Genomic DNA, 24,531 nt, shown 5'->3' with positions numbered 1-24,531 from the left:
AAAAGTCCATGAATCCAGGAGCTGATTTTTTGAAAAGATCAACAAAATTGATAGACCACTAGCAAGACTAATACAGAAGAAAAGAGAGAAGAATCAAATAGACACAATAAAAAATGATAAAGGGGATATCATCACTGATCCCATAGAAATACAAACTACCATCAGAGAATACTATAGACACCTCTACGCAAATAAACTAGAAAATCTAGAAGAAATGGATAAATTCCTCAACACATACACATTCCCAAGACTAAACCAGGAAGAAGTTGAATCTCTGAATAGACCAATAACAGGCTCTGAAATTGAGGCAATAATTAATAGCTTACCAACCAAAAAAACTCCAGGACCAGACGGATTCACAGCCAAATTCTACCAGAGGTACAAGGAGGAGCTGGTACCATTCCTTCTGAAATTATTCCAGTCAAAAGAAAAAGAGGGAATCTGCTGGGCGTGGTGGCTCACGCCTGTAATCCCAGCACTTTGGGAGGCGAAGGTGGGCAGATCACAAGGTCAGGAGATAGACACCATCCTGGCTAACACAGTGAAACCCCATCTCTACTAAAAATACAAAAAATTAGGCAGGTGTGGTGGCAGGTGCCTGTAGTCCCAGCTAATCGGGAGGCTGAGGCAGGAGAATGGCATGAACCCGGGAGGCGGAGCTTGCAGTGAGCCAAGACTGTGCCACTGCACTCCAGCCTGGGTGACAGAGCGAGACTCAGTCTCAAAAAAAAAAAAAAAAAAAAAGAGGGAATCCTCTCTAACTCACTTTATGAGGCCAGCATCATCCTGATACCAAAGCCTGGCAGAGACACAACAAAAAAAGAGAATTTTAGACCAATATCCCGGATGAACATTGACGCAAAAATCCTCAATAAAATACTGGAAACCGAATCCAGCAGCATATCAAAAAGCTTATCCACCATGATCAAGTGGGCTTCATCCCTGGGATGCAAGGCTGGTTCAACATATGCAAATCAATAAATGTAATCCAGCATATAAACAGAACCAACGACAAAAACCACATGATTATATCAATAGATGCAGAAAAGGCATTTGACAAAATTCAACAACCCTTCATGCTAAAAACTCTCAATTAATTAGGTATTGATGGGACATATCTCAAAATAATAAGAGCTATCTATGACAAACCCACAGCCAATATCATACTGAATGGGCAAAAACTGGAAGCATTCCCTTCGAAAACTGGCACAAGACAGGGATGCCCTCTCTCACCACTCCTATTCAACATAGCGTTGGAAGTTCTGGTCAGGGCAATCAGGCAGGAGAAGGAAATACAGGGTATTCAATTAGGAAAAGAGGAAGTCAAATTGTCTCTGTTTGCAGATGACATGATTGTATATCTAGAAAACCCCATGGTCTCAGCCCAAAATCTCCTTAAGCTGATAAGCAACTTCAGCAAAGTCTCAGGATACAAAATCAATGTGCAAAAATCACAAGCACTCCTATACACCAATAACAGACAAACAGAGAGCCAAATCATGAGTGAACTACCATTCACAATTGTTTCAAAGAGAATAAAATACCTAGGAATCCAACTTAAAAGGAACGTGAAGGACCTCTTCAAGGAGAACTACAAACCACTGCTCAATGAAATAAAAGAGGACACAAACAAATGGAAGAACATTCCATGCTCATGGGTAGGAAGAATCAATATTGTGAAAATGGTCATACTGCCCAAGGTAAGTTATAGATTCAATGCCACCCCCATCAAGCTACCAATGACTTTCTTCACAGAATTGGAAAAAAACTACTTTAAAATTCATATGGAACCAAAAAAGGCCCACATCGCCAAGTCAATCCTAAGCCAAAAGAACAAAGCTGGAGGCATCATGCTACCTGACTTCAAACTATACTACAAGGCTACAGTAACCAAAATAGCATGGTACTGGTACCAAAACAGAGATATAGACCAATGGAACAGAACAGAGCCCTCAGAAATAATGCCACATATCTACAACTTTGACAAACCTGACAAAAACAAGAAATGGGGAAAGGATTCCCTATTTAATAAATGGTGCTGGGAAAACTGGCTAGCCATATGTAGAAAGCTGAAATTGGATCCCTTCCTTACACCTTATACAAAAATTAATTGAAGATGGATTAAAGACTTAAATGTTAGACCTAAAACCACAAAAACCCTAGAAGAAAACCTAGGCAATACCATTCGGGACATAGGCATGGGCAAGGACTTCCTGTCTAAAACACCAAAAGCAATGGCAACAAAAGCCAAAATTGACAAATGGGATCTAATTAAACTAAAGAGCTTCTGTACAGCAAAAGAAACTACCATCAGAGTGAACAGGCAACGTACAGAATGGGAGAAAATTTTTGCAATCTACTCATCTGACAAAGGGTTAATATCCAGAATCTACAAAGAACTCAAACAAATTTACAAGAAAAAAAACAAACAACCCCATCAACAAGTGGGCGAAGGATATGAACAGACGCTTCTCTAAAGAAGACATTTATGCAGCCAAAAGACACATGAAAAAATGCTCATCATCACTGGCCATCAGAGAAATACAAATCAAAACCACAGTGAGCTACCATCTCACAGCAGTTAGAATAACGATCATTAAAAAGTCAGGAAACAACAGGTGCTGGAGAGGATGTGGAGAAACAGGAACACTTTTACACTGTTGGTGGGACTATAAACTAGTTCAACAATTGTGGAAGTCAGTATGGCAATTCCTCAGGGATCTAGAACTAGAAATACCATTTGACCCAGACATCCCATTACTGGGTGTATACCCAAAGGATTATAAATCATGGTGCTATAAAGACACATGCACACATATGTTTATTGTGGCACTATTCACAATAGCAAAGACTTGCAACCAACCCAAATGTCCAACAATGATAGACTGGATTAAGAAAATGTGGCACATATACACCATGGAATACTATGCAGCCATAAAAAATGATGAGTTCATGTCCTTGTAGGGACATGGATGAAGCTGGAAACCATCATTCTCAGCAAACTATCTCAAGGACAAAAAACCAAACACCGCATGTTCTCACTCATAGGTGGGAATTGAACAATGAGAACACATGGACACAGGAAGGGGAACATCACACACTGGGGCCTGTTGTGGGGTGGGGGGAGGGGGGAGGGATAGCATTAGGAGATATACCTAATGTTAAATGATGAGTTAATGGGTGCAGCACACCAACATGGCACATGTATACATATGTAACCTGCACGTTGTGCACATGTACCCTAAAACTTAAAGTATAAAAAAAAAATTGAATAAAGACATGATAAGCAGAAACAGCTATCAAAAGGGGCCATAGTACATGCTCACCAATTATATGTTTAATGGAAGAGAAAACGAGGTTCAGAGATATCCAGTAACTGGGTAAACGAAAGGAAAAAGTGGTGGATGAGATGCATGAGTGATATGTATACATAAGTGAGAATCACACATATTTTGCATGAAAATGTAGTGACTGAGCCTTTGAATGTGTGCACTTAGGTTGATTCAATAAATATTTCTTGAATATCAACTATAAACAGGGAATCTGACCTATTTGCTGAGGTTTGACCTATTTGCTGAGGTTTGAGTTATGCAGTTACCAGCTGCATAACTTTGGGCAAATTCACCTTTTTGAGCCTCTGTTTTCTGTATAAAAATTAAAAATACCCAATTCACAGTGTTTATGAGTTTGAAATGTGACAATTTCTCTAGAGTCTAAGGTACATAGGAAAGATGCTATCAGTTCTAATGGCCAAATAAGATGTCAAAACTATGCTCTAGATTTATCTTCAAATCCAAAGAAAAAGCCACATAAACTTTTCAAGTAAATATAAAAAATATTTACCAAATCCTCAAATGTTTAAGTTGAAATGATCAATATTTAACTATGTTTGACTTATTAAAGTGATGACATCCTTTGATGGCCCAATATTTCCTGTATAGTACAGTTGGTCATTCAGAGACAAATTCCTTAGATTCCCTCTATTCCCTCTGTCTGCTTGGATCTCCTTCCCCTCTGTCAGCTTGTTCATTTCGGCTGGCTCGCAGTGCATGATCTGCTTACTTCCAGAGAGGACCTGAGGAAGCTCCACTCCTATAGCAACAGGGCTATGCAGTTCATTTGGCAACTCATCATGTACTGCCTCGTGATCAATATTCTGTTGCCATGAACTGTTATGTAAATCTTGAACTGGTTTCTGCATTTTTGTGGGCCAAAAGTTTTTAACGGACAGGGAACTACCAGGCCACCTTCGAGGGAGAACGGAGAAAGTACCCATCCTGTGCTGCAGGACATTGACTTAAGGGGCCTGGTGAGGAGAGTCAAGAGCAATGGGCTGTCACCAGCATGCAGACCACGGGCCCAAGGAAGAAAAAGGACTTGTTCTATTCAACTTCAAGATGTAAAGAAGCAGCATCCACACAGAGAATTTTGAACAAGAGGGTGGGAGATCCCTTGATCTAAAAAGAAATCTGAAGCATGTGGTTGTGCTTCATCTCCACTGAGAAGAGAACAGAGTGGTGTTCGAGAAACAGAACGGCAGATCAATATAAACTGTACTTTCTAGACCTTCAGCTGCCCAAGAGGACATGGCATTTCCAAAAGGTTGAAAACAACTGGACTAGAGAGTGCTCTATTTCCTTCCCTTGTCTTCTTTTTTTGTTTGTTTGTTTCTAGATGGCTCATTCTCTAGGGGCAGAGATTGTATTCAGTCTCTTCTTGTATCCTCTACAATGTCTAGCCCAGTGGTAAAAACACTACCAGTACTTAAGAAAGGGCTGGCCAGGTGCGGTGGCTCATGCCTATAATCCCAGCCCTTTTGGAGGCCTAGGCAGGCAGATCATTTGAGGTCAGGAGTTCGAGACCAGCCTGACCAACATTGTGAAACCCCATCTCTACTAAAAATACAAAAAAATTAGCCAGGCATGGTGGCGCATTCCTGTAGTCCCAGCTACTCGGGAGGCTGAGGCAGGAGAATCGCTTGAACTCGGGAGGCAGAGGTTGCGGTGAGCTGAGATCGCACCACTGCACTCCAGCCTGGGCGATAGAGTGAAACTCTGCCAAAAAAAAAAGAAGAAAGGTCTGTGGAGGTGATGGGCTGTCTCATCCCAGTCCCTTCACCTGACTGGGCACAGTAACACAAGAAGGGCAGCACATCCTCAAAATTATGAGAGTTATGTATCATCACATAACTCTCTCTTTATGCCTTGGGTCCCTAATGGGTTCTGTTTTCGTTTTTGTTTTTTTTTTTTTTACGACAGAGTCTTGCTCTGTTACCCAGGCTGGAGTGCAGTTGTGCACTCATGGCTCACCGCAGCCTCTTGACCTCCGGGCTCAAGTGATCCTCCTACCTTAGCCTTCCGAGTAGCTGGGACTACAGGCGTGTGCTACCATGCCTGGTTAATGTTTGCATTTTTTTGTGGAGATAAGGTCTCACAATGTTCCCCAGGCTGGTCTTGAACTCCTGGCCTCAAATGATCCTCCTACCTTGGCCTCCCAAAGTGCTGGGATTACAGGCATGAGCCACCATGCCTGGCTAAGGGTTTTGTATCTTAGTACTTCAGTGTGTGACTTTAAAGGTATACCTGACAAAGTTGAATATGAAAATCACCATTATCATTCATATTTGTGGAGCATGCTTCTCTCTACAGTACTCATAGTTCACTGGACCATGCCTCATAGGTAAGATGTGTATTCTCATTCTCATTTTAACGAGGACTCAGAGGTTCAAAATGATTAAGGAACTTACCAAAGGCTACACAGTTAGTAAGGAGCAGGCAACCATCAGGATCTTCTGACTTCTGTCCCTGACCTTGGATAAGTCTCTCCTCACGCGCACTCGCAGAAAGCCAAGTCGGAGGAGGGAAGTGGGTGGCAGGGGCGGGGATGGAAGAGAGACTGTGATTTGTACCCTGGCCCAGCCGCATTTCCAGGTGAGTGTTGGGCCGGGCTACTCTGCGCACGCGCCCTTGCTCACCGCATGGGGCATGCTATCCTTTCCCTTGGCCTTGCCCAGGTTTTTGTTGAGCGAAAAGGGCACGTTACTACTTCTTCTCTAAAGAGGTATGATGAGTTCAGCTTCTGCCTTCAAATCGATCTCTGTGGAGGCCTGCCACCCACAATCGGCTCGGCTTTTCCAACCCTCCCGCGCGTCTCAAGGGCTACAGAGCAGGGGATGAGAACTTTCGCTGGGCCCAGGAAGCTTCTGGTTGCGCGGGAACCCAGGGCAGCAAGTGACTGCACCTGCGAGGCAGGAGGAGCGGGGCCTGGAGGGCCGCAACATTCTCTTAACGGATTCATTCCCGGTGTCTGAGCCGAGAACCTGCATCCTAAACCCTCCATTTAGCTACTAGCTGCACTCCCTGCCTCCTGCGTGGCTGCTGCCGCCACAAATGGCCCCTGGCTTAGAAATGCTACATATGCTCCTCCTAATTAATATGTGACACAGCGTCTCACAGCCACCACGGCAGCAGTCTCGGGCTGTCTCTCCTAGACTGAAAGGCAGATGACAAGTGAGCTTTTTTGTCTTTCATATGTCTCTAGACCGTGACATGCCCCAACGGACAATACAGGCAGCTATGGGTCTCTCCCTTCAGTAAGAGATGTGACATATGCCAGGAAAATGAGATGGCTCCCTCTTCATTTCAAAAGCGTGCTTCTTACCATGTCCAGGCATAGCTACCAGGTGGCTCACTTTGTCTGATGGGCACACAAAGGTGAGGCATATGTCCCAAAGCTGACCCTAGAGCAGCCGCCCTTCTCAGGGAGATGAAGATCTGTGCCTCCTGGTCTCAGCTTGACTCTGAGTTTATCCTGTAGCCTTAAGCAAGCTGTCAAACCTCTGTGTATACCTCCGCTTCCTCTATTGAAAAATAACAGTTCTGGATTTTGTTAATAGTCCTGGAGGAGAGTTATTAACATGAGGTGTGATACACAGAAATAAATATTAATTAAAGCTGACAATGATGATGGTTTTGCAAACATAAAAGTGCTGTAGGAAAAATCTTGTCTGATTCTACTGAATGATTTCCATAAAGCTAGGCTGGGCTCCCAGATAATATTATGGAAGGATTACACAAAACGACTGACATTTTCAATTTATTCTTTTAGCTCATACTGCTTTATATTTAGGCAGCTGTCTAAGGAGACACCATCAAAATGCCATTAGTCACCATGGGGAAAAAGTGTTCATAAGTGAAGGCATGCCATTAATCTACAGCATCAGTGTTATGGGTTTATCAGCATGGCACACCAAGTGGGATGTCAGAGGAATGGGCTTCATCTCACTGCAGAATGCAGTGGATCAAAAATGGACCAAGAGCTTCCCAGCCTAAGAGTCTAGTAAACTCCAGAGGCTCGATGTCAGATTCAGAAGAATTAAGGCAGAGCTATGCTCTTTGAGGAGAAACACATACAAGAAGTTCAAATTTTGTCCCCAAGTCTTCTTAAAGTTCAAGAAAATCTCTTCCCACTGAATTTAAATTAAGGCCTTATTTCCATGACATTTGATAATCCTTTATTGAGTATATCCTATGCACTGTGGGCACTTCTGTCCTCAACACTGGAGATGTTGCGAGTGAGAAGACACAATGCCTGCATTCAAAGAGCTTATGATCCACTCAAGAAGTCAGACAAGAGATAAACAATCTTAGCACAGGGTGTTACATGATCTGGAGAAGTAAGCCCAGGGTGCTGTGGGAGACAGAAGGGGAATCTGGGTGCAGCTGGAGGAAGCCTTCTGCCTAAAGATGGCTGATCAGCTCCTTCTGGGTAAAGAGGGTGGTCAGTTCTGTGTGGTTAACTTCTCTCTCTCCTTCCTGACAGAGAGGAGGCAGAGACCTGGGGGAAAGAGAATTGATTACAATCAGTGATTGTAATGGAAGAAAATTCTGCAAAAAAAACCCATGGTGATGTAGAAAGGGGAGAACTGCCTTCAGACAAGATGTTTTTAACGAATCTATGGAAGAAAAAAAGGTGGATGGAGGAGCAGTGCTGGGGAAGCAGGATGAAGCTGAAGCTTCCCAGACGGCCAGAAGGTGGGTGGAGAGAGAGGGAAGGAGGGGAGGCTAAGACTGAGAAGAGAGGCTCAGAAAGGCTCTGACGCTGGAACTCAAGCCTAGCAGAATTGAGAGCTGGAGTAGGATAGGCCAGAGAACACAAGAGGAGTCATTGAAAACCTTTGAGAAAAACTCTCGATGGGACCACCCACCCATGCCAGTGTATTCAGCAGTTAAGTGTCCATCTCCAAAATAAATCAGGTGTCCTTCAAAGCACTGAGTGGCCCCAGAGAGCAGACCTGCACCTTCTGGCACTTAGAAGTCCTTCTGAGTAGAGCAGGCTTTCTACTCCATCACCCTAATGCCATGGTTCTCCGCAGTGAGTGATTTTGCCCCCCCAGGACATTTGGGAGTGAGTAGAGAAGACATTTTTGGTTGTCTGTGAGGACAACAAACTTGGGGAAGGTGCTACTGGCACGTGGAGGGTAGAGGCCAGAGGTGCTGCGAAACATACTACACCGTGGAGGAGAGACTCAGACAACAAAGAATTATTTAGCCTCAAATGTCAATAATAAGAAACTCTAACATAAAGTTCTCCAGTTTACAAACCCCACCCCCACAAACTCCAAACAGTACTCCACAGCCATTTCAGCATTGTCACGTTTCAGTCATCAAGGATCTACTTAACCAAGTGCCTGGCCCCGCTGGATGCTGTAAGACGGGGGTCCCTAACCCCCAGGGCCACGGACTGGTATCTGTTAGGAACCGGGCTGCACAGCAGGAGGTGAGTGTGGGCCAGCCAGCATCACCACCTGAGCTCCGCCTCCTGTCAGATCAGCGGCAGCATTAGGCTCTCATAGGAGCATGAACCACACTGTGAACTGCGCATGCGAGGGATCTCGGTGGCTAAGATTCTGAACCATTCTACAGCGTAACACTGATGCTGTAGATTAATGGCAGGCTCTTTATGAGAATCTAATGCCTGGAAATCTGTCACTGTCTCCTACCACCCCTAGATGGGACCTTCTAGTTGCAGGAAAACAAGCCAGGGGCTCCCACTGATTCTACATTACAGTGAGTTATATAATTATTTCATTACATATTACAATGTGATAACAACAGAAATAAAGCACACGATAAATGTAATGGGCTTGAATCATCCCGAAACCATCCCCACACCCCGCTGGTCCATGGAAAAATTGCCTTCCATGAAACCGGTCCCTGGTGCCAAAAAGGTTGGAGACCACTACTGTAAGAGATGCTTTACGGCAGATCCATGACATGGTCACTGGGGACATGGAAAGAGAAAGGGTGTTTCCGTGTTGCTTTGAAAAACTCTGAGGCAATGCAACCAAAATTTTAAAAAGAAGAAAAAGAAAGCGTCTGAATTAGGAAAGAGCAAACAGCTTCGGTACATGCTACTGGGAAAAACGGCTTTTCAGGGTTGACCGCAGTACCTATCGATGGCCAGCAGAGGGCAGATGGGGCAAAAGAGCAGGAGAAAGGGAATTTCTGCCCTTCAGGGAGGCAATTCCAGTAAGAATACATGATTGTAAGTCAAGAGTCAACTGGAATTAAAAGCAGGAAATAGAGAAGGCAGTAGCTCACTGACTCCAAGACAATGCAGGTTTCACACAGTTGGGAGTCGAGGCCACAGAAGAACTAGGGAACCCAGGGCACCAAGGCTGAGGGGTAAGGGGCCAGAGTGGGCATGGGGCTTGGGTGGGAGAGCCCGATCCATTGCCAGGTGCTGTGCTCACCATACACAGGGGGAATAGGCCTCTGAAACACCTTCAGTGTTTGCCTCTGCCTCCTCTCAGCCTCCGCTTTGCTTTTTATAGGCCCAGTGCCTGGTATGACAATCAGAGGAAGCTGAAAAGCCTACCTGCAGGCCATGCAATGATGTGGGTGGATTTGGAAGAGGTGGATTCTGCTGGTGGGAAAGATGAAACCTGGCTTTGGTTGGTAGCAGGCTATTCTATATGTGAGTTTCTGCCCAACAGTTCCATGGTCGCCCTGCAAACCCAGCATCACACTGTAGTGTGTTTTGATCGCATAAACCTCCTTGAAAAGTCATTCTATAAGCACTTCTTGTTTTGTAAAAATAAAGTGTATTAGGGTTCTCTAGAGGGACAGAACTAATAGGATAGATGTATATATAAAGGAAAGTTTATTAAGGAGAATTGACTTACATGATCACAAGGTAAAGTCCCACAATAGGCCATCTGCAAGCTGAGGAGCAAAGAAGCCAATTTGAGTCCCAAAACCTCAAAGGTAGGGAAGCTGACAGTGCAGCCTTCAGTCTGTGGCCGAAGGCCTGAGAGTCCCTGGCAAACCACTGGTGTAAGTCCAAGAGTCCAAAAGCTGAAGAACTTGAGTTTGATGTTTGAGAGCAGGAAGCATCCAGCACGGGAGAAAGAAGATGGGCGGAAAACTCAGCAAGTCTGCTTCATTCTAGCCATGCTGGCAGCTGATTAGATGGTGCCCACCCACATTGAGGGTGGGTCTGTCTCTCCTAGTCCACCGACTCAAACGTTAATCTCCTTTGGCAACACCCTCACAGACACACCCAGGAACAATACTTTGCATCCTTCAATCCAATCAAGTTGACACTTAATATTAACCATCAAAGAAGAGTTAAGACATCTCTAGGGGAGTTTTCAGGGAATACCTGGAAATATTCTGGTGTCCAATAAAGGTAAAATTCTCATCAGAATCAACACACAGGGTATCTTCCCAAGCTCATTTTTATCATCACTGATGATAGTTACTCATTCTCCAAGTTTATTTCATGAATGTTTAGAATCAAGTCTAAACATCTCAGAAATCTCATTTATTAATAATGTATATCTAGCCGAGTGAGCAATGAGGAAAAGGTTTAATGTCCAAGATTTGGGGCTGGAGATAATATAACCTCTACCATGCTTACAGAATATAAAATGCTGGCCTAGTCTAGAAACCCAATCAAATGGCAACACAAAATGCAGACTACAAGTGTGGAATATTCTGATTTATTTGCTGTTTTAAAAAACCCTTTTTGCCTGATACCTATCAAAACCAAAAATAATCCTCTCACACAAGATAAGCGGGGATAGGAACTACACATTATTTAGGAGCTGGGCATTGTTGTAAGTACTTATTTGTTCTGGCATTTAATCCTCAGAACAGCCAACTGAATTAGTATTATTATGCCATTTTATAGATGAAGAAACCAATGTTCTAAGACATCACTGTAATAATCGAACAAGTTTTGTTGTTGTTGTTGTTGTTTTTAAGTGTCTTCTGTATCAGGAACTGAGCCATATTCTGGAGAAAAACAGAAACAATGACAGTGTCTCCCCCGTCTGCGGGATGTAGATATGTACACTGACAATTACATACTACAAATACTGTAATGGAAGTGGGAACACCTGGAATCTGCCTGGGTCAGGGACAATTTCATAGCGAGGTGACTCCAGCTGATTCCTAAAAGAATAGAGATTTTCCACTTTTCCCGTCTACTTGATGCTGTGATCTTATACTGTTGCAAAGTGATATCTCCAATTTCCATGGAAACTCCCTGCAGGCTAATTAGAATCCAGTTTATAAATTTAAAATAGGTAGAGTTTGATATTCTCTGATGCACACCGGTGTCTACTTCCTGCTGGCAGAGTTCTGTGGCCTTTTTGGGGATCCTTGGGATGGGACAAGGCTGATAAAATAACTTACCAGCTGGAGGTCACCACTCTTATCTAGCAATGGCATTCAATTGCTAGATAAGACACAAGTTGATAAGACTCAATTGACCCATGTGGCCCACCTGAAACGCCACATGGGGCAATTGAACCACCCGTCTCTTCCACCTGCCCTAAACTGCTACTACTTTTGGGGCTAAAGTGCCCTCTGCCCTTCACTGGTGGTTCTCAGAGCAGCTCTGGCCAGCTCGCCAGTGGCCCTGCCTGAGAATCCTCAGTGGAGTTCCATGTCTAGAGGAAGTCAAGGAAAAGAGGCCCACATTAGTGGAGAATTGCGCTCGTCTGTGATTGGTGGAGCCTCTCTAAGATTTTTCCAGCGTCAATATTCCCTTTCAAACATCATTAAAGCTAAAAGGAAAAGTCAGCACTAGATGTGAGGAAGCAGATTGGAGTCCTGTGTGTTATATGGCGACAACTGCCTCCATCGCAGGGCTGACTCACCGTCGTGTTATTGACCGGAAGAATATTTATTATCACAGGTCAAAGAATGAAGCATACTTCTCTCATTTCACTCAATTAATTTGTATAAAATGTTAGTTCATAATATGTGCTGTAATTTTCTTTAAAAACTTTTTTTTAAGTCAAGCTTTGTCAGCTATAAGAAGTGATGGACAGCAGCTAGGTGCTTAAGGCAGCCTGTGGGTTCTGGCTCAAAAGAAATAAGAAAAAGCCAAGACCCCCTTGACTTGCCTGGAGACCTTACAGAATATTAACATGGAGGGTTCATAACAGGCAATATAGTTCATTTTAATTAGGATCCCACAACCCTAGAAATTAAGTTACAGAAGATCTATTAGGTCATCTGGCCTATCGCTTTCCCTATCCCCTGTGCAATGCAGGATTGTTCCCTGGGGTCTGCTCACAAATGCATGGTTCAGTCTACATTTAAATGACTGCAACTATGAGGCTTACGTCATCCCCCTTGGGGATGACTATTACGTAGTCTAATGGATTTCACCATGATTATTTTTCCCTCCAGAGATTCTGCCCAAATTTCTCTTTGCTTGAATTTGTCTCATTTTTCCTCATTATATACCTTCAGGTTCAGAAAAATCACAAAAATGACAGTGAGAATGACCAAGTCTCTATTTCTTACTCTTTAGCAATAAAGATGGAAGTCGCCCCAGTGGGCTTTCTCAGTTTCACATTTTGTAGGTAAGCTGGAACACTGCTAACCCTTCTTACTCTTAGAAGACACTCACCATTCCTCTTAAAGGAATCCACAAAAATCACCAGCGTGGGGGCAGGTTTGAGTTTCAGTGGTGGTGGTCCATTTGACACGATTCACTCCTCCCTGCCTTGTCTGATCAACCATGTAACCAATGATATATTTGCCAAGATTTGTGATGCTCTCTGTGTCAGCAGAACAGAGGAAATCATTCTGGCTTTTGGGGGATGGTACCTATGACTTTACAATCATTGGCACCATTTAAGCTACCAGCCAAGCCACCCACTCCCTATTACATTTCTCAATGACACTCAAGGAATCTTACAACTTCAAGTTGACTAGGCGAAGAGATTTGGATCTTCTTTATGTCATCAATTTCACATATGTGCATACACGTGTACAGAGAGAAGCAGCAGCACCAGGAGAAGGAAACAAAGGAGAAATAGCAGCAGGGCTGCAAAAGAAAACACATCCCACATTCACAATCCCCTATTTATAAAGGATAATTGAGTCCCATGCATGGTGAGACTGTGACTCATTAGAACTCCTTAATTAAAGAGGAAAGCCTCCCTGGTGATTTTATTTCCTTGGGTTTGTTTTTGGTTGTTATTGCTAAGTATGAGAAAGACAGCAATGCCCTGCTTGGAGAGAGGATCATTCTTCTGAGCAGGACACGAAGCTGGAAAATGAATTCACTAATGAATTCAGAGCACAGCCAGGGCTGAATTGCAACTCCTTGCTATCCCACTAGCAATCGTCCCTAAGCACAATTACCCTGAATCATTACACTGGATGGCAACTCAGGCTGAGTGAGATGGTTGGAAAGGAAAGTGTGATTTAATGACAGAAAGGGCACAGCGTACATGTGGCCACACCTCTATTTCCAAGGACAGGTCCATTCATTCTTTTATTCTTTCCGTCTACTCTTCTGGGGCCAGGCACTGTGCTAAGTACTAGGAATAGTTGTCCAGGGCTGTTGAAAGAGGGTGGCAGGCCATACATCAAAACTTTAACAGCATATAGTTATAATTTCATCTTTCTTTGTATTGGAAGTAAAGGACAATTTAGAATCTTTTAAAATGGATTACAAAATTCTGTAAATACGTACAGCGTGAGAGAAAATAACATAATTAAACACTTGTCTGCCCACCATCTAACTTTATTGAATCTTAACATTTTGACATATTTGCTTTAGATTTTGTAAAATAATAAAACACTATAAAGTAATTGAAGCCTCCTACGTGCTCCTCCTCTAAGCCACCCTACAGGTAACCATCATGTTAAATTTCATGTTTACCATTCCTATTCATGCTTTATACTACTCTTCACATATGTGTCTTATGTGTGAATCCATAAATAACAAATAGGCTGTTTTATATGCTTTCAAACTTTATACAAAAGGTGTCCTATTGTACCTATTTTTCTGTAATTTGGTTTTTTAAAATTCATTATTTTTGAGATTTACCCATGTTAATGATACATGTAATCCTAGTTCATTCATTTCAGTTCTTACACAAAATTTCATTATACTTATATGGCTATAGCACAGCTTATTTATCTACTGTTGATGGTCAGTTCGTTTCCTCTTATTTTGTTCTATTGCTAATAATGCTGTAGTCAACATTCTTCTATACACCTTCTCTGCAGATGTGACAGAGTTTCATGAGATTATATGCCCAGAGGTGGAGCCTCTAGCTCAAAGTGATTATAACTAAGTTCAAAGTAATGTGGAAGAATTCTCACCTATCTAGACTCTTGCTTATACTTTTCAATTCTCAGTTAACTTGATGAGTGAGCAATGGTGTCTTATTGTGGTTGTAGTTGTAGTTTATTAGTTACTGGGGACCTTGAGCATCTTTTCATGTATTTATTGACAATTAACAACTATTAAACATTAACCTATGTTTTGCCAGCTTCTTTTTTTTCATTATTGAGTTGCTCTTTTTAAAATCCAGGTTCTAGGACTTTATCAAATATTTGTATTTCTTATCCTTTCTCCTGGTCTTGGGCTTACCTTTAATTTTTGTTTATGGTATCTTTCATTAAAAGGAAATTTTAAACATAACTTTCATGCAATCAGATTTGTCACAATTTTCCTTTATGGTTTTTGTTTTTTGTGTGTTATCTAAGGACTCTTTTCCTAGCCCTTAAGTCCAAGATGCTTTCCTATATTTTTTTCTAAAGTATATTTTTGCTTTTCACATAGTGTATTAATTTTGATACACCTGGATTTGATTTTGTGTGTGTGTATAATGTGTTTCAATTCTTCTCCATATGGATAACCAAGTCTATTTGTCTATTTTTCTATTCCTACATTGGTACCATCTGCCTTGATTGCTGAAACTCTGTGATGGTTAACTTTATGAATCACCTTGACTGGGCTAAGGGATGGCCAGATAGGTGGTAAAACATTATTTCGGAGTGTGCCTGGGAAGGTTTTCTGAAGAGATTAACATTTAAATCAGTAGACCAAGTAAACAAGATTGTCCTCATCAATGTCAGGGGGCCTCATCCAATCTGTTGAGGGTCTGAATAGACCAAAAACACAGAGGAGGACAAATTTTCTCTGCTGAGCTGGCACCTCCATCTTCTCCTGCCCTTGGACATCTGCACTCCCAGGTCTCAGGCCTTCAGATTTGGACTGGAACTACACCACCAGCTTTCCTGGGCCCCCAGCTTGTGGGCAGTAGATTATGGGACTTCTCAGCCTTCATAACCCCATAAGCCAATTCCTCATAATAAATCCCTTTCCATATATCTTGATATATCTTCTTGGTTCTGTTTCTCTGGAGAACCCTAATACAAACACTATAAAAAGTCTTGATGCCTGGTGAGGTAAGTCTCCACTTTGTTCTTTTCCAACACTGCCTTTGTCCATTGCTCTTCCATATAAAATTTTAGATCAGCTTGTCTAATGCCATGAGGAAATCAATACACTAGACTCAAAACCCTAGACATTTAAGCTGGGTCATCTTTGCTCCGACTGTGAGGACTGTACTGAGGCACTAGAGAAATGCAGGCATACATTAAGTGCTTTATAAACAGTGACTCATTTAAACCTCACAACAATGCTATGAGGTAGGTACTAGTTTTTATTCCCCTTGTTCTGGTTGAAGGAACTGGGGATTGATGGACTCAGGTAATTTGGCCAAGATCTCAGGATTAAGAGGCATAGCCAGAGCGCAAAGGCTTAAATCCATTCTAATCATATGCCAGCACTTACCTGGACATCCAAAACCTTAAAAATATATTTTGTTCTTACTGACAAGGCAAGCAATTTAAAGTCATTATCCTCTTCATTATACCAAAGAAGAAACTAAAACACAGACAAGGTACACGCTTTGTCTAATACCCTATACAATGTTCACTGCAGAATAGAACTTACGTCCCTTGACCTTCCCTGTATGAAAACTCCTTCTTCCACTCCCACCCCGACAACTGCCCACTAGCTCTTGCTCCTATGCCCGTCCAGGCCAGGCACCTGGAATACACAACCACGAGGCTGCAGTGACATCCTGGTCTCACTGAACACTCCATGGCACTGAGCAAGTGAAAACCAATTCTAAAGATGAAGTGGCTTCTTCAGCTTGTGGCTTCTGGGAAGCTTCCTTTTGAAGAATTAGTAGTGGTACGGGAGTATAGATCAACACACCAGAGAGCTCTCCTACCTATGACAATATTTACCTAACGTCAGGACATGAGCATTTTCTAGGAAATGTGTGGAAAAGGCTGTAAATGCTGGCAACAATGAGGGCAAATCTGCAGGAGCAGATTACATGGAATGTAATTAGATAAGAAAACATTGGTTAGGGGCTGTCAAGGGAGCCAGAGAAAAGCATGTTATAAACAGATACCCATCGGCCCAGACTGGTGGTTGGAGGACAGATACTGTCATTAGCAGCTTTCAGTATAAATCTTAACTGGGCCACCAATGTGTTCAGTGACTTTGAGCAAGTCATTCCAGACAGCCTGGATGTTTCAGTTCTTGTACCTGTGATAGAAGGCCCCCAGAGGGCTTCACTAAGGGAAAGGAATTGCTCTGGTCTGGAAGAAAGAGCGCAAGCCTGTTAGTGGGCTCTTGCCCTGCTAGGGATAGGGGGAAACCTCATTTTTCTGCAGGCTGGGGGTGAGGAACTGAGGGGGGTCAGTGGGAAATGGTCACAAAATAAGGTACATTTACTGTGGACTTCTTCAAGGGCAGCTTATGTGCTGAGAGCTTGATATTTTCCTGCTTTTCTCTTTACTCTCTTGTATTGCAAAACAGCTATGGCAAATCATGTAATTTCTCCATGTCAGTCCTTCATGTCTAAGGTAGGAATGGCTAGCATAAAATGGGGTAACAGACATGAAGGCTAATGCGAGGTACTGTTATGTCAGCACCCCTAAAGCCATTAGAGGAAAGTGAGGATGGGAGGTCGGATTAGACGAGGGTTCCCGAGTGGTCGTGGCTCCTCCTGCACAGCTACAGGGACTGGAGAAATATAGCAAGAGAGGCCAGGCGCGGTGGCTCACGCCTGTAATCCCAGCACTTTGGGGGGCCGAGGTGGGAGGATCACGAGGTCAGAAGATCGAGACCATCCTGGCTAACATGGTGAAACCCCGTCTCTACTAAAAATACAAAAACTTAGCCGGGCGTGGTGGCGGGCACCTGTAGTCCCAGCTACTCGGGAGGCTGAGGCAGGAGAATGGCGTGAACCCGGGAGGAGGAGCTTGCAGTGAGCCGAGATCGCACCACTGCACTCCAGTCTGGGCAACAGAGTGAGACTCCGTCTCAAAAAAAAAAAAAAAAAAAAAAATATATATATATATATATATACACACACATATATATATACACACATATATATACATATATATATACATATATATATATACACACATATATATATATATATATATATATCAAGAGAGCCCTGTGCCTCAGAGGAATTGCAGTGCTGGCCAGAGGCTCCAGGAAGGAGCCCGGCCCAGCCCCGCCCTCTGGACTGAGAATGTTTCACACTGGTTTTGATATTAATGAAGTAATTATTGTGCAAGTTTATGCACCTGTGCCTTATTCTCAGCTTCTCTGCATTCCTTCTCCAAGCCATGTGGTTCCCTATGCCTTTACCTTCCTCTAGCAGGAGGGGACGTACGAGAGGGGATCCTTTCCCTCAAAGACTTTTCTCACTAGTGGTGGGGATCACACCCACACATACACATGCGTAAAATCTAACCATACAAGCCAGAGTGAGATGTCTGATAGGCGGCGCAAACCAAGTGCTCTGGGCCTGAGGAGGGGAGGGGGGCAGGGGCAGCACCTGTGGAAGGAAGGGCCTTTAAGCCTCGAAGAATGAGAATTCAGAGCGGAAAGTGGGAGACACAGACCAAAGAAACAACCAGAACACAGAGTTCGTAAAGAAGAGAGGTAAGAATAGAAATAAGTTAGAAGGGGCTGGGCACGGTGGCTCACGCCTGTAATCCCAGCACTTTGGGAGGCCGAAGCAGGTGGATCACGAGGTCAGGAGATCGAGACCATCCTGGCTAACATGGTGAAACCCTGTCTCTACTAAAAATACAAAAAATTAGCTGGGCGTGGTGGCATGTGCCTGTAATCCCAGCTACTCGGGAGGCTGAGGCAGGAGAATCACTTCAACCAAGGAGGCAGAGGTTGCAAGCAGCCGAGATCGCACCACTGCACTCCAGCCTGGGCGACAGAGTGAGAATGCATCTCAAAAAAAAAAAAAGAAAAGAAAAGAAAAGAAAAAAGTTAGAAGGGAGTTGCTTCCATGATGGATTAATGACTCTGGTTTTATGAGATTGGTTGTAAGGAGTCATTGCAAAATCTTAGGGAAGGGAAGTCACACAATTATAGTATGTTTGCTGAGGGACTGAGGAAGAGAGAAAGCCATCACCTCCTCTACCCTCCATCAGGGGAGACTGTCAAATAAACAGAAGCTTTAAAATATATACTTTGTAGGAGACTAGGGCGAAAAAGGAATACGGCTGTGGAAGGACTCCTAGTGTGTCTGAAGCTACTCTGTGGTGGGAGGCTGGTGTGGAGCCAACTGGGAGGAGGGAAATGAGAACTGGGGGAAACACGGGGGAGACTCAACCTCATAGACCCAAGGAGGCCAACTAGGGAAGGGAAGATGGGCCTGAAAGTGAAAGGCCAGACTTAAGTCCTAGCTCTGCCCTTTCCCAGCAGGGAGGCCTCAGGCAAGTCCTGAAAGCTGTGGGAGGTTTTGCTTCCTCATTCCTAAGATGGCAGTCATGGTCCCTGCTTCAAAAGCTGCTGAGGTAAAAATAAATGAGGTCACGTGCATGAAATCCCTTGACAAATGCCAAGTTATCTGGGAAATAGTAGAAGCGGTGTTTTAATTATTTTTGCCATGCGGGTGGGGCAAGGGGATGAGGTGGGACATGCTTGCTGAGCACACTTGACATGCAGGGCAGCCCAGCCTTGGTCCATCTTGCATTAAGTTTGCAAAGCTTCTTGGGATAGGGTGACTAGAAATGCCGTGGCAGGAGGGTGTGTGGGGTCAGAGCCCCTTCCACAGGGAGCTCCCTCCCTTGTGAGTAGGAGATAGGCGATGCCAATGAAGGGGAAGAGAAGTGGAGAGCTAGGTGATAGTTGCTTGGTGGCAGGGAGGGCTTTGAGGAACCCCTTGTCGTCATGTTCCACCCCTGAGAAAAATTTACTGCAGGTCTTGAAACCTTAACATTAGGGAGGTTGCAAAAATTACAAGCCAAAGCTGGGGGCAATAATTTGGTGCCTCTAGGTGAGGGTTTCTTGGCAAACTGGATAACATCTGGCCTCACAGCTTCTACCCCAAAAGGTTCTTCTGAGCTCTTCTCCACCCCTAGGAAGTTTCTCCATGACCTGGTGGTCTCTAGCTTTCTTCATTCTGCATCAGTAGACTCTCTTTAAACACACACACACACACACACACACAGAAAGTTTTAAGTCAATGGAAAAGATGTCTACTCTCCAATGGAGCCCCATCATAAGCCTACGTTCTCTTTTTCTCTTCTTTCTTTCTTTCTTTCTTTTTTTAATAGGGTCTCACTCCATCACCCAGGCTAGAGTGCACTGGTGCCATCATGGCTTACTGCAGCCTTGACCTCTTGGCATAAGCCTACTTTCAAAAAAGGAGTTTGAGTTCAGCAGAGAACACAGGAAATGAAAATGATAAATGTATAGTGGGGTTCCAAAGCAAAGACCGTTCCACATAGCTTGCCTGCCCTCAGATACTGAGCAACTGACATGGCATCCCCAAATTCTGGAGGATTCCATTGTGTATTTGCAGCAGCAGCAGATTTCTAACCAGTGACCCAGCTTTTGCCCCACATCAACATCTCCTAAAAGGGGATGTATCAGCTAGCAGGCACTTAGTTTAGGTAATTCTCCTTCAAAGCTGTCTGATTGTTTATGGGACATTGAGGTGGAGATGCCTTTTAGATGGATAAAAATTCCTTTGAAGCCCAAAAGGATGACCTGAAGTTGTATCAGACTAGAGAGTCCAAAATTAGTGAATGATGCCGAAGTATAAAAATCCCAACTCTGGGAGTTTAACTTTGTATACCATAAATGTTCTCTAATATGAACATAGTTCATAATTTGTATATAGATAATACTAATATGCATACTAGTATTATCCATGTGCAAATTAAACCTTTTTCTTACTTAGGAATAAACTACCTTTGGGAGGCTGAGGCAGGAGGATCACTTGAAGCCAGGAGTTCAAGACCAGCCCAGGCAACAAAGGGAGACCCCACCTTCACAAAAAGTTTAAAAATTAGCTGAGTATGGTGGCTTGCACCTGTAGTCCCAGCTATTCAGGAGGCTGAGGTGGGAGGATTGCTTGACCCCAGGAGGTCGAGGCTACAGTGAGCTACAATGGCACCACTTCACTCCAGCCTGGGTGACAGAGCAAGACCTTGTCTCTAACAAAGAAAAGAATAACTAGCATGCCTACCACAAAATGGTTAATCAAGGATTGAAAGGGGCTGATGAACATTGACATTACAAACTGAAAAATGTAAATTAAAGCAATGCCAGAGGCCAAAGGATGTAAAAGGTAAACATGAAAGTAGATATTGAGGTTAATTAGATTTGACTGCTTCCAAGAAACCAGCACATGCCTCATGATAACTGATAGCATTAGACTGGAAATCTGTGTATTAGCAAAATTGCTCATAAGGCCTGGTTTGGCCCCCTTTTGAGTAAGGCAGTGGACAGATTACTGGTGGTCAGGAGACTCCGTGATAAACTGACTGCCTCTCAGTTCTGCCCTTAACTAGCTGGCAAATCCCCTCCGGCCCTGACCCGTTTGCCACCTCATCTGCCTTTGCATCTGTCAGATGGTGATAGTCATGCCTAACCTGCCTCCTAATGGAGAAAGTGAGAAAGAGATGCCGTTTTTTACGAAACTAGCAAAAACTAGAAATCACTAGTAATCACGTAAGGCTGACAGAGCATTTTCAATCAAGGTCATTTGATCCTCACAATAAGGTAGTGGGTAAAACCCTATCAGATGCCAGACTCCCTTTGTATAACAATATCTATATTCTCTGCTCACTGTTAGAAATGAAATTGACAGATACTACAACTTCAATATACACAAGAAGTTTTTTTAAAAAAAGATAATTATCTTTAATAAAAGGAACGTCATTCAATATTTTATAACATGGTCATAAGTGTGGATTCAGGAATCCAACTCAGTTATTTTACTGCCAATGCCATGATTTTTTCAGAATCCTGGAAGTTATATTTTTAAATTGAAGGAAATTAAAATTAATATTCAGGAATTTCCTAATGCTACCTAATTTTTTCTTCTCAGAAAATAGAAAAATGCTGCTTTAAAAAAAAAAACCTCAGTATTCTTTTCTATAAAGACTAGTCTTGCTGTATTGGTCAGCTTTACTGTGGTAATGAATAACCTCCAATTCTCTGTGGCTTACAGCAACATTTGCTATTCACTCATGTTACTGAAAGCTGTGGGTTGGCTGAAGCACTGCTCCAGACTGTGGCTCAGCTCCAAGCTGTAAATCAGCTACTAGCTCCATGTGTCCTTTTCCTTCTGGGATCCAGGCTGAAGGATCATAGGGTGTGCTATTCCCACAGCAGAATGTGAAAGCGCCAGAGAGGTGGCGACAACTTATGATGCCTCTTAAAAACTTCTGCTTGAATGATCTGCACATGGTCACATGGCAAAGGTCAGAGACATGCAATCCTCTTAGAGGGAAGGGGGGGTGCACAATTGCAAAGTACACAGCAATCTACCACAGCTGACCTCAGATTCATTTTGGTGCTACAGGCAGTCTTGCTAATAGACCTGAGTTGGCACATAGAAAAACTTGTTTGCCATCTTTCTTGAGATCAGGGGTTGCAAATTCAACCACTAATGGGAAATGGTAAGAACCATGGTTAAGAGGCCATACTTCATTTGAAGGACTAGCCACTGTCATCCCCAGTAAGGGGTACAATGTGCAGATGAAAGCCCAAGTCTTCAGATCGCTGAAGAGAAGTCAGAAAATCTTATGTTTAAAGGAAGAAATAAGGCTGGGCGCAGTGGCTCACCCCTGTAACCCCAGCACTTTGGGAGGCTGAGGCTTGAGGTCAGGAGTTCGAGACCAGCCTGGCCAACATGGTGAAACACCATCTCTACTGAAAATACAAAAATTAGCCGGGCCTGGTGGTGCACGCCTGTAATCCCAGCTACTCAGAAGGCTGAGACATGAGAATCACTTGAACCTGGGAGGCAGAGGTTGCAGTGAGCTGAGAACACACCACTGCACTCCAGCCTGGGCAACAGAGTGAAACTCTGTCTCAAAATAATAATAATAATAATAAACAAAAAAGAAGAAATTACATTCAGTGAAAGTAGAACTTGAGGAGAAATGCATGAAAACAAAGAGAAAAGGTCATTTATACTAATAAAAGGAATAATTAATCTAGGTAGTAAAACAGTTTTTACTATATTTGCATGCAAAATAGCACGTCAAATATAAAAAAAAACAGGTTTAGGTAAAACCTTCTGATTTTAAAATTTTTGCAACTCTTTTCACTAAGAAACAACAACAACAAATTTGGACCACAACTTAAAAGTTTTTATCTTCTGCTTTAGGGAAACACTTGAGATATGGCACACTGGGCAGTGGCATAACTGTCGTAAGAAGGGAATGAACAGATTTTTTTTCTCAGGTGTTTCCACGACTCAGAGAGTCAGTGCTCACCTGGCCCAGAGCCCCCAGACTCCATTAATTGACTCAGGACTCAGTCCTGGGCCCACTCATGGCCTCTAGTTTTCCTTTCCTAGGCTTGGCTCTCTGAGCTGTGCCATCTCCTAAGAGAAGCCTTTCAGGCTGATTGACTTAAAACTTAGAGCTCAGATGGCAAAAGAAGAGGGAAATAATAGGGAAAGAGATTGCCCTCATTTGCCTCTTTAAATTTTAATATGCAGTGTGATTTGTTAACATGGAGGAGGTCCCGAGGTACTGAGGGGCATCAATAATTCAGCAGAGGCTGTCAGGCTGCAAATAGCCCCACGGTGCCCAGCTGAGGCTCCTGTTTGTGACATGGGCTACTCTTTTGAGCTCTAAGAGAAAGAGTCAGGTTTCCATTACCCAGCCCATTTCAGACCTGTCTTTCCTCTGCTCCCAATTCCTAACAGAACTGGAAACCATGTAGGGATTGTAGAGGCTAGCAATCCACAATGCTCAGCTGATTAAAGGTTAAATACCAAAGTTCCCAGAGGAAAACGGTGCTCAGGAGCTTCTGCCTCGGTAGGATCTTGAGTGTTACTGCCTCCTCCCTATCAGGTGCACCTAATGCCCAGGATTTAATAAAGGATCGTTCCCTTCCACCACCATCCCCAAACAAATGTCACTTCTTTCTGTTTGCCAGATCTTGTTTCTGTCCTTCACAAACTCAAAACTCACCTGAACCTATTTACTTACTTTCCAGGATGATGCTGCCCTTAATGCTCAGCTGATTACAGACTAAACACAAAAGTTCCCAGAGGAAAATGGTGGACTTGGGAGCTGCTGCCTCAGGAGGATCTTGAGTGTTAGTGGTTCCTCCCTATCAGATGTACCTAATGCCCAGGATTTAATAAAGGATCATTCCCATTCCACCACCATCTCCAAACAAATGTTACTTCTTTCTGTTTGCCAGATCTTGTTTCTGTCCTTCTTCACGACCAAACTCAAAACTCACTGAACCTTACTTTCCCGGATGCTGCAGCCCTCAGCTATGGGCAGAGGGTCACAGTGGTGGAGCCTGACTAAAATTTGGTCAAGGAGAGACTCTTTGTCACCACTATCCTCTTCCAAGGTAGTCCTTGACTTTTGGACTTCTGTGTCCTTTCTTGCATCATCCAGTTTCAGCAAGAATTTTGTCAGGTTGGTTTGGCCAGGATTTCCCACCCTCAATATCTGATCATCCTCAATATCTGACCAAATTCTTCACCACTCCCATCATCCCCAGGTTATATCTGATTACCAAGGCTTGCCTGCCCCTAACAAGAATCCTGTTAGGACAGTTTAGCAAAGTATCACCCTACCCTCTTAGTTATTCTCCATCTACTGACAGCCTCCACCCCCTTGACTCTAAATTCCCCCTTTTTCTTATGTTCAGAGTTGAACCCAATCT

At 43.3% G+C, this 24,531-nt stretch overlaps 1 long non-coding RNA gene across 1 annotated transcript, besides 1 other annotated feature; it reads left to right on the top strand.

The window, feature by feature from the left end:
* Nucleotides 8,258–8,791: an enhancer, noted in NCBI's record as "NANOG-H3K4me1 hESC enhancer chr1:184192567-184193100 (GRCh37/hg19 assembly coordinates)". NCBI's record gives its function as "activates a minimal SCP1, AML or CMV promoter by ChIP-STARR-seq in naive H9 embryonic stem cells {active_cell/tissue: H9 hESC(naive)}" and the evidence as "EXISTENCE:reporter gene assay evidence [ECO:0000049][PMID:30033119]".
* LOC124904467 (uncharacterized) lies at nucleotides 18,263–24,013 on the top strand. The gene is made up of 2 exons (XR_007066766.1): nucleotides 18,263–18,303; nucleotides 23,845–24,013. It is a non-coding gene; the product is annotated as an uncharacterized LOC124904467 (long non-coding RNA).
* The last annotated feature ends 518 nt before the right edge of the window (nucleotides 24,014–24,531 follow it).

The sequence above is a fragment of the Homo sapiens genome, chromosome 1 (genome assembly GCF_000001405.40).
Source record: "Homo sapiens chromosome 1, GRCh38.p14 Primary Assembly".
Taxonomy (NCBI): Eukaryota; Metazoa; Chordata; class Mammalia; order Primates; family Hominidae; genus Homo; species Homo sapiens.
Note: the sequence above shows the minus strand (reverse complement) of the source record. Positions and strands in the feature narration are given on the sequence as shown.